This window comes from Homo sapiens, chromosome 16 (genome assembly GCF_000001405.40).
Source record: "Homo sapiens chromosome 16, GRCh38.p14 Primary Assembly".
Taxonomy (NCBI): domain Eukaryota; kingdom Metazoa; phylum Chordata; class Mammalia; order Primates; family Hominidae; genus Homo; species Homo sapiens.
The window spans coordinates 49,162,397-49,172,435 of record NC_000016.10 but is presented as its reverse complement, the minus strand read 5'-3'; the positions used below and the strand labels follow the sequence as shown (position 1 = coordinate 49,172,435).

Below are 10,039 nucleotides of genomic sequence, written 5' to 3'. Positions count from 1 at the left end.
AAAATAAATTAGCTTCGACAGGCATTTTCAGGAAGTTAACCTGCATATATAACTATCACTGTAATACTTGAAGATTTGGCTAGGGCTGGGTGAAGTTAGCTCTCAGTTTTATCTTCACCCAATGCAAATCTTTTCTAATGCTTTTCTCAGCCATAGATTTGGGCAAATTTCAAAAATCATACCATAGCATTTTAACCATTTTTTCTGGGAAAACTTATCTTGGAGTTAATCCAATCCAAGCCTAGACCTGCAAGAAATGATTGTGTGCACATTTTTCCAACTCTGTATTCAGTAATGACACTTTGGTAGCTTGAAATTGGCCACAGTGGGAGTATTTACACCACAGAAATAGGTGAATGCTACAAATAATGCCCTCCCCTGGCCAGAGCCTGCTGTGGAACATTTACTTGCATGTCACACCACTCGGTCTCAGAGGACAGTGTGGGTTCTCTGGCTGGGCAGGGCCTCTAGTAATGATCAAGATGTCTGTACCAAAGCCTCTCAATATCTAAAAAGTTGCTCTCATGGTTATGTCTTGCTAGTTAAATGGGAGGTGGGGTTGCTAGGGAGGCTGGGAGAGCCGTTAGCACGAAGTTAAGCCATATAGGAAGGATTTATTGTTAATGGAAATAACTTCTAGGGAAAGTGATCAAATCCAAATTTCTATTTATTTTCTTATTTTTCCCACTTTGATCTGAGCAACTGATCATGCAACCAGACTCCACTTATATCGGGTACTAAGATTTGGCATGAGCAGTTCAGAGATAGAGAATGCCAAATAATTCTCATTAAGTCTCAAAAACAAGTGGGCATCTCAAAATATCTTAGGTTAGATGGAACAGGTAATGGCTGCTGGATGCTCCATCCACATCCACTCCTCAAGAGCAACATATCCATTCCCCATTGCTGGGAATGTCAGGTGCATGGGCTCACAGCTGCATCCCTCCCTGGAAGTTGCCCTTGGGAGTGGGGAACTGCCTTACCCGCCCATAGGAGAGCTCACAGCCAATTACTGGCTGATGCAAAATACCAGCACCTTGTCTCAATTTGTAACAACTCTGAAGAGCCATCCTGGTTCCAGAACTGCCTTTAGGATTGGCTGCATCCTCAGCTGAAGCTTCCTTGTGGGTCAGCTTTTCCTTCTGTTTAATCTAATCTTCCTTATGTCTCTACAGGTGTATCTCCCAAGAGCACTCTCCAAATCTGCCTCTGTTTCAGTAGGACAAGGTTTAAGACAAAACTTTAAATTCATCTGGCTCAGGTACTCTCCTGATGGAGCATAAGTCTCCTCTGGTGCCTCCCTAATCAGAGAGGTCCAGTCCTTGTCTCACATTTGCTAGGAAGCTCTGCATATTGGAAAGCCTGTCCTCAGTTTGAGTTGAAATTCACCTCCCTGTTTAGAAAGAGGCTTGTTTTCCAGGTGCACATTATGTGTTCTGATTTGTTCCAGCTGACATTGCTTTGGACAGACAGTATAAGAGGAGGGTGATATATGGTCCTCATCTCTGAAGACCTCTCTGGGAGAGAGAAGACAGGCTGCCAAATTGTGTGCCATTGGAATTCAGAGCAAGGAGAAAGTTGAAGGGTGATGATAGGGGTGCTTTTTGGGGGAGGGCCTCTTGAGCGAGGCTTACAGAGATGCATAGGAGTTGTATAGGTACTTGGCAAAATGCTTTTCAGAAATGCTGGGCGTGTTCATCAACTGAAATGTACCTTTGCTATTTTAGCTGACGTACTTTCGTTTTTCTCTTCTTCTGCTAATAGTTCTTTAAGTTTTCTTTGGGGATCTCCCCATCAGTCCATATGATTCAAATGGGGGTGGACGCACTCCCTCAGCTTCAAGAATGAGCTTGTGGCTCCGGTTTAGCCAGCTGGGTTTTTTCTTCCTGCTAACCACAGTGAGGGACATGTGACCTAGTTGATCCCATGATACTGAATCCCAGGACTTGCATGAGAGTTCCTGGAAAGGAGTTCTAATTTCCTTGGAGTTGTTAGGCAACACAGGAGTAATCCGTGAGCTTCTGTGGGCTAAACAAAGAAGGAATCAGAGTTTATCTTAGGGTGGAAGTTAGAGACAGACAGTCACAGAGAGAGAAAGAATAAAGAGATATTTTGATTTGATGATATTTGTTAGAGTCCTGTTTCATCTTTACAATTGCATGAACTTGAATCAAAAATTCTTTTTATGCTTAAGCCAATTTGAATTAGATTATCTATCACTTGTGACACAATGACTCCTAACTATTGCAGAAACCAGTGTTTAAACTCTAATCTGATGTTGAATCTCTGTTCTTAGTACAATAGTATGATTCAGAGAGACAGGTGTCAGCAAGCTTGATGGGAGCAGAAGATACTCTAAAGAAATTGAGCCTACAATTCAGCCAGGAGGAATCTGTAAGGATTTCTTTAATTGCTCTTTCCTTTAAAAGATCAGACATACCGGTTCCCTTACTACCCACTGTTTTAGGATGCTATCCATTTTTCCTCAGTGATTGGCCCTCTTCATCAGATCTTCTACAGAATCTCCAACTTTTTAGATGAATTTCTATTAGAACAAGCCCCTCTTTAGTCTGGTCTTCAGTGAATTCCCGACGTCCAAGTTGCTTCAATGGCTTCATTCCTAAGGTGAATTTGAAAATGGATCATTCAAAAATGGCTCTCAATTTGCATGAGAAAGTCATGAGAAAGACCCCATTGAGTTAATCCCCAAATTCTGCCTGTGATGTGAGCATTAAGGGACACTGGGTGGAGGGAGAGGCAGAGGAAATCTCCACCCCATCTATCCCCTCCAGGAGCTCAGAGACTTTGATCATTTCTTTCTTAGCCTTTATATTTCCAGAACAAAGTGGCTCATTTTGATCTATCCTTGAATGGCATCTCTGTCTCCACCTCCTTGATCATTTTCGATGTCCTCCCCCTCACTTCCCCTAGCTTCTTTATGTCTTTTAAAGGTATGCCCAGAACTACACATAATATTTCCAGAGGTCAGAGAATTAGGCTTTTATCTTTGCTCATTGATGTTAAAAATGTGATCATGATAAAATAAATCATTTGAGAAATTTGTATTGGCTTCTAAGCCCAAAGTCATTCCCTCTTTCCTTCACTAACTCACTGATTTACTCACTTCATAAGCAATTAGGAAGAACTTACTGTGTGAATACAAAGAACCTACAAAGGCTTGTGATAGGCTTTTTGGGATACCAAACAGGGTGAGAAATCATTCTCCTCCCTTAAGGAGTATGCAGTAAAGCTGATAATGCAAGACTAACATATGAGAAGCCAACAATAATAATGTCTTCCTCTAGAATCTGACATGAAACACGGGCTCATTTGATTCCCACACCAGTTGCATTGTCATGATGAGGGGCTGAGAGCCAGGAAAGTAGGGATATTTAGGATTCATGTGCAATCACCTGTCTCCAAGTTCATGAGTCTTTCATCTGGACAATGACTTCCTTTATCCATCACCCAGGAAGGGTCTTAACCCTGAAGTTCTGAGACACAACAGAAAAGATCCCAACTCCTAAGTGAAATAAGCGTCAGAAGAAGGAACAGATTTCATAACGTGAGTACCTGTGGAGGGCAGACTTTTGAATTAGAGCTCTCCCATCTTAGAGTTTTTCTGGAATCTTATTAATGGATCTAGAGTGGGCTGAGCTTACTTCCCATATTAATCCCATTCAGGAAAACTCTATTTTCATTGCTTTTCCTGCCATCAGCTATTCCCTCTCCATCCAAATACAGTAGCTACATTTAGGCTGAACAATCTCGCACTCCCAACTATCAGTTCAAATTTGAATGACCCTAGATTCTGGCTCCATTGTTGAATATATGGCCTGGCTTTGGCCACTCAACCCATCATCATTTCTGTGTTTCTGAAATTGATCCAGAGATGGTTACATGATTTATGGGCCAATCTGAGACAATAAAGATGTGCCCTGTGATTTCTGGAAAAGGTGAAAAAGGTAAGCTCTCTTTCTTCTGGGATTATGGGGTAAGTATAAGACTGCTAGTGGCCATCCTGACACTGTGTGGAATAAGGCAGTCTGAGAATAGTCACTTGGAGAAAGCAAAGTGCACAGGTGGAGCTGGATTGCTGATAAGACATACTTAGCCCTGCTTAGCAGCCCTGGATTTTCAGTCACATGACCCAATGATAGCCCTCTCATGCATAAGCCAGTTTGAGTTCTGTTTCTATAATTTGCAACCAAAAAGAGTCTTGACCAATTTTTCCATCCACATACAAATTACCTCCTGGCAGCATGGGTTTCTATCTTTCCTTCAATTCTCTAACCGTGTCTTTCCTTAACCATGTTTCATTCATATATCTTTTTCATGTTCACTAGACACAGAGCTCCATAAGGATTAGTATCTTGTCTACTTTATTCACCACTTAATACCAACAGAGTTGAGTGATGAAATAAGCTCCACAGTAACACAGGAGATGATGCCATGTTTCTTCAGGGCCTACTGAAATGACAGTAAAAATTTATTCTAAGGTTTCAATAACCTAATATAGTGTTGCAAGTAATTTATTAAGAAAAAATAGTCAAATTAACTAAAGTGCTAAAGTTTGCAATTTTTGGTAAATTATTAATTTTTAATAACCTATGATAGACTGAAGGTTATCCTTATAGCATCACTGTCACTAAAATTCCAAGATGCTTTTCTGAATGAGACTAAAAGTGTATGGGGGGCATTATGAACAGCACAGGAGCCTTTAAACCACGTGACAGCCTGCAGTGAGTCTCCCTTACTGAGTTACATTTTATGTTTGTGGAAATTATAATTATTTTAGTGATTTGAGTGGGGAGGGGGACGGCGCATTCAATCCAATATGGTGATGTAAACTGGAGAAGGTCATGTATTTTTATCCATTTGGGGGGCTATGGGGGAAACATTCTTGGGAACCAGGACCTACTGTGGTACCTTCTGTTCTGTGCTTTAATCTGGCTTCTAACTTTCTTCAAAATTATGATCCACTACTTTTCTTTTCCTTGCTACTATTTCCTATGATAATGGAAGCAATTTTATTTCCCCTTATCCAAATATATTATGCCTTGTCTTAACACCTTTTGTGTTAGTCAGTCAACCAGAAACTCTTTGTTCTCCTCAAACACTCCAATCCTGGGCATCCTTGTTTAATTTCTAGGCAAACGTCATCTCTGACATAAAGCCAATCACTAGTCCCCCAACCTAAATGATATTAACCTCTACTTTAAACAATTGTTTACATTTTTAAACATATACAAATAACAAAATTAATTCTTTTTGGTGTATGGCTCTAGGAGTTTTAACATATGTGCAGATTCATGTAACTCCCACTACAATCATGACACAGAATAGTACTAACGAGCCCCCAAATTCTCTTGTACTGCGGCTTTGTAGCCAAAGCCCCTCTTACCCCAAATCCCTGGAAACCACTGGAATTCTCTGTCCCTATAATTTTTCTTTCATAGAATGTCATATGAACGGAATCACACAACATGTCGTCTTTGAGACTGGCCTTTTTTCATTCAGCAAACTGCCTTTGAGATTCATTCATGTTGTGCATATCAGTAGTTTATTCCTTTTTATTGCAAGGAGTAATTCATTGTATGAATGTACCATAATGTATCTATTCACCTGCAAATGGACATTTGGGATATATCTAGTTTTTAGCTATTATAAATAAGCCTGCCATAAACATTTGTGTGCAAGTCTTTTGCATACATATGTTTTCATTTCTCTTGAGTAATTACCTAAAAGTGGAATGTTTGTGTATTTATTTATTTATTTTTGAGACGGAGTCTTGCTCTGTCCCCTAGGCTGGAGTGCAGTGGTGCGATCTCGGCTCACTGCAAACTCCTCCTCCCAGGTTCAAGCGATTCTCCTACCTCAGCCTCCTGAGCAGCTGGAATTAGGGGCACACGCCACGACGCCTGGCTAATTTTTGCATTTTTAGTAGAGATAGGGTTTCACCATGTTGGCCAGGCTTGTCTCAAACTCCTGGACTCAAGATCCACTTGCCTCGGCCTCCCAAAGTGCTGGGATTACAGGTGTGAGCCAGTGCGCCTGGCCAAAGTGGAATGTTTGGTTCAAGGTAAGCGTATGTCAAACTTTATAAGAAATTGTCTATTTACAGAGTGACTGAACCTGTACCATTCTGCATTCCCACCAACAATGTGCAAGAATTCCAATTGCTCTGTATTGTAGGTAGCACTTGATAGTCAGCTTACTTCGTGATGTAAGCTTGATGATGTATATCTTTTCATGTGCTTTTTTGTCCTCAATGTCTTCTTCCGTGAGGCTTTTTTTTTCAAATTTCTTGCCCATTTATATTTTTAATTGAGTTATTTTTCTTAATGTTGAGTTTTAAGAATTCTTTATATTCTTAAATTCTGGATATAAGTCCTTTGTTGAATATATTACTTGCAAATATTTTCTCTCAATCTGTAGCTTGAGTTTTTATTCTCTTAACAGTGTCTTTTGGAAAGTAATCTTTTAAAAGATTTTTGAAGAGGTCCAATTTATCAGTATTTTCTTCTAAGAATCATGTACTTGGAATCATTAAGAATATTTTTACCTAACATAATATTATACACATTTCCTCTATTTTTCTAGAAGTTTTATAGTTTTGCATTTAGATATGACTTAATTTTTGTATAAGGCATGAGGTATGGATTGAGGCTCACTTTTGGGGACATAGAAATATGCAAGTATTTCATCACTTTTTGTTGAAAAACATCTAACAAGACTAGCAAATGAAAACCCAAGAAGACACAAATTACCAGTAAGAAGAATGAGAAAGAAGATGTCACGATAGGCCCCACAAACATTAAATGGATATTTATGCATGTAAATTTAATATCTTAAATAAAATGAACTGATTCCTCTAAAGCCACAAACAAGCAAAACATACCCAAGAAGATATAGATACCTTTACACCATACGTATTTTAAAGAACTTAAGATGAGAAAAATAAACTGTTAAATTTACCCAGATGTTTACCATTTCTGTTAGTCTTCTTTCACTCCTAATGCTGGTCATAGATTCTATTTGTTTTCTTTTATCTGAGAATATTTTCATTTCAACTTCATTCCTGAAAGATAGTTGCTGTATACAGAACTTTGAGTTGGCAGGGTATGTTGTTGTTGTTGGCAGAATCTGTTTTGCTTTCAGCATTTAAAAAATGTTCCACTACTTTAAAGCCTCCATGGTTCATTATGACAAGTCAGCAGTAATTTGAATTGTTGTTATCCTATAGGTAACATTCATCTTTATTTTATTTATTTATTTATTTTTGGCAGCTTTCGATATTTTTTTCTATTGTCTTTTGTTCTCATCAGTTTGATTATAATGTGTCTTTGCATGCATTTCTTTGTTTTTTTCTGTTTTGAGTTCACTGGACTGGGGTTTTTTGAATATGCAAATTTATATCATTTGCCAAATTAGAAAATTTTTAGATATTATTTATTCAAATATTTTTTCTGTACCACACTCCTTCTCCTCTCCATCTGATACTCCAGCAATGCAGAAGTTAAATTTTGGGGTCTTTTCTCATAGTTTCCTTAGGCTCTATTCTGTTTTTTTCTTCATTTTTCTTCTCCATTTTTCAGGTTAGATACTCTGTACTGATCTATCTTCAAGTTTACTGACTCTTTCCTCTGGAAATTACTTTGTACGCATCAAGTGAAATTTTTGTTTTGGTTATTATTGTTTTTATTTATAATATTCCTCTCCATTATTTTTATAGCTTTTATTTTTCTACTGAGACTTTCTATATTTCCCTTGTTTCAAGAGCATTTGCCCTTACTTCCTGAGTATGATTATAACAACTGCTTTAAAGTCTTTGTCTGATAATTTCAACATCTTTGTTATCTTGTATGCTGTCTGTTGATTTTCTTTTCCTTTGCAAGTTGTTGAGATTTTTTTTCCTATGGGAAATAATTTTGGATTATAGCCTAAGAATTTTGAGTATTGTGTTATAACTATTGCTCTTGTTTTAATATTATGGATTTTTTTCTTTTTTAAAGCAAGACAATCAACTCAGTTGCATTCAGGCTATAGCTAATCTTTAATGGGCTGTGTTTCCCATGTCAGTTTGGTTTCAAAGCTTTTCCAGTGCTGCCTAGATTTCTTCCAATGTGCATAACTCTGGGGAACATTTGCTCTGTGGTTCAATTCTGAAAGCCTCAGATATGCTGTTCAGAGTCATATCCATGCATGCACAGCTTGTGAGTGAGCCCAAAATTCACATATGACTATGGATTCATTTCTCAAGCTGCCTCCTGTCTTCAATCTTTCTGACACTGTCTGGCTCCCCAGATTTTTGCATCTTGGTCCTCCAGCTAAAAAGCTGAGATTTTAGTCTCCCTGCTCTGTTGCACAGTTCCAACAAAGGGGTCTGTCTCTGTGGTCAAATGGAAGGAAGACAGAGAAAGGCTGAATGCAACAGTGAGCCCCTCTATCTTGTTCAGGTGGTACTTACCCTCCCTCAGAACTTTAGGTATTTGCTGGCAACCACCAACATTTCTGCCTTGCCCCTGTCCTCCTGCCTCTCAATGGCTATGGGATTACAGCTTTGGGACTGGGGATTGCCTGGGAACTGGAATGGGACAGGAAGAGAAAACCATAAACAAAAAATTCGGGAATTTACCTCACTCTCCCTGTTTTGTAGGTGCCCTTATTTTCACTCTGAACCAGAAATTAGTGGCTTCTCTTAAGTATCTTAGGTTCACACTTTATATGAGGTTCGAGAATTTGGGTTGTGCTTGAGGTCAGGCCTGGAGAATCAGAAGGAAGAAAATTCAGGAAGTGTTACACTGGAAAACATATAGTTCAAGTTCTTTTTCCTTCTCCAATGTGCTAGCTACTGTTTACTTTTTGGAGTCCTCACTTAGTTCCATGCATTCTATCCAGGTTTTCAGTTGCGTTTGGTGAACAGAACTGCAACCTTTCTGCTTCCACTTCTTGTCTGTTCTAATTAAATGTTAGCATCTGGAAAGAAGTGGCTTTGTGTCACCTTTTCAGTAGTCCTCACATTTCCTAAACTATGTGTGGCACACCAGGATATGACCTTTACTGCATTATATAATTTCATCTCCAGAGCACTTTTAAGAGGTAGACCTCATTACTTTCATTTTATAGACCAAGAAGCAAGTTTGAAAAAAAAAATAACATTCAAGGTCATAACAGACGTGCAAGGATTCTAACTCAGGTCTATAGATACTTTGCTCATCCTAGGGATGAACTCCTCATAATAATGTTCAACTTCAGCATTATTATTAGTTCCTTATTATAAAGAAAGAAAAGGGCTCATTGAGGCAACATGGCAAGTCAGGTTTCAAACCACAGCATCAAAAGCTAACTACTTCATGGAAAATTTATATGGCTAGACATGCAAAAAGGGATCAACAAATATTTATTGTAAAATGAGGATTTTTTAAAGGAAAAAAATGTGCCTCAAACCAGTGGAATTATTTTATTAAAATGGTGAAATATGGCTCATGTTTTAGGTTTCTGCAGCACTGCTTATTAACTCACACAGTGTGTTCTTCCATCTCTTTAAAAGTGCATTTCCCCCTTCTTCTTATTTCATCAATTACAACATACCAGTTGTTTGGTTTCCTAAGTATTTGCAGCTTGGGCAGCCAAATCTCAATCTGGGTGTTTTCCTGCGTTCTCTATATTTTCCCTGCAAGAGCAAATTAAAGAGCCAATGAGGTTTCTTCTCCTTACAGTTGTCTCCTGCTTCCACAAGTACAGATAGCATTGCTGTAAACCTGAACCTTGTGGTTGCTGTCATCAGAATGGAGGAGATAATCACATCTAGAATTTCACAAGATTCCATTCAATGAGGCTGACTTTCTTCCTAGATAGGAACCCATTCACCATGGCCTTTGAGTCCTTCAGGTGGAATAAATGTGTTTCTGTAATGTCTATAAAATGAGACTAAATTTAGTGGCCTTGCATCGGAACACTTTCTATAGCAGAGAAGATGATAATAAAGACAGAAAGTGTATTGTGACCCCCATCTCGCTGCATTTCCATAACAACA

General features: G+C 38.6%; 1 long non-coding RNA gene across 2 annotated transcripts; it reads right to left on the bottom strand.

Annotated features, from left to right (window-relative positions):
• Window positions 1–2,536: 2,536 nt before the first annotated feature.
• LOC102724847 (uncharacterized) lies at window positions 2,537–9,758 on the bottom strand. Of its 2 annotated transcripts, XR_933518.3 has the most exons (4): window positions 9,595–9,758; window positions 8,639–8,765; window positions 3,414–3,523; window positions 2,537–2,620 (listed from the first exon to the last, which is right to left on the bottom strand). It is a non-coding gene; the product is annotated as an uncharacterized LOC102724847 (long non-coding RNA). The 2 variants fall into 2 exon arrangements; XR_007065065.1 differs by lacking the exons at window positions 8,639–8,765; window positions 9,595–9,758 and adding an exon at window positions 6,991–7,074.
• Window positions 9,759–10,039: the final 281 nt, after the last annotated feature.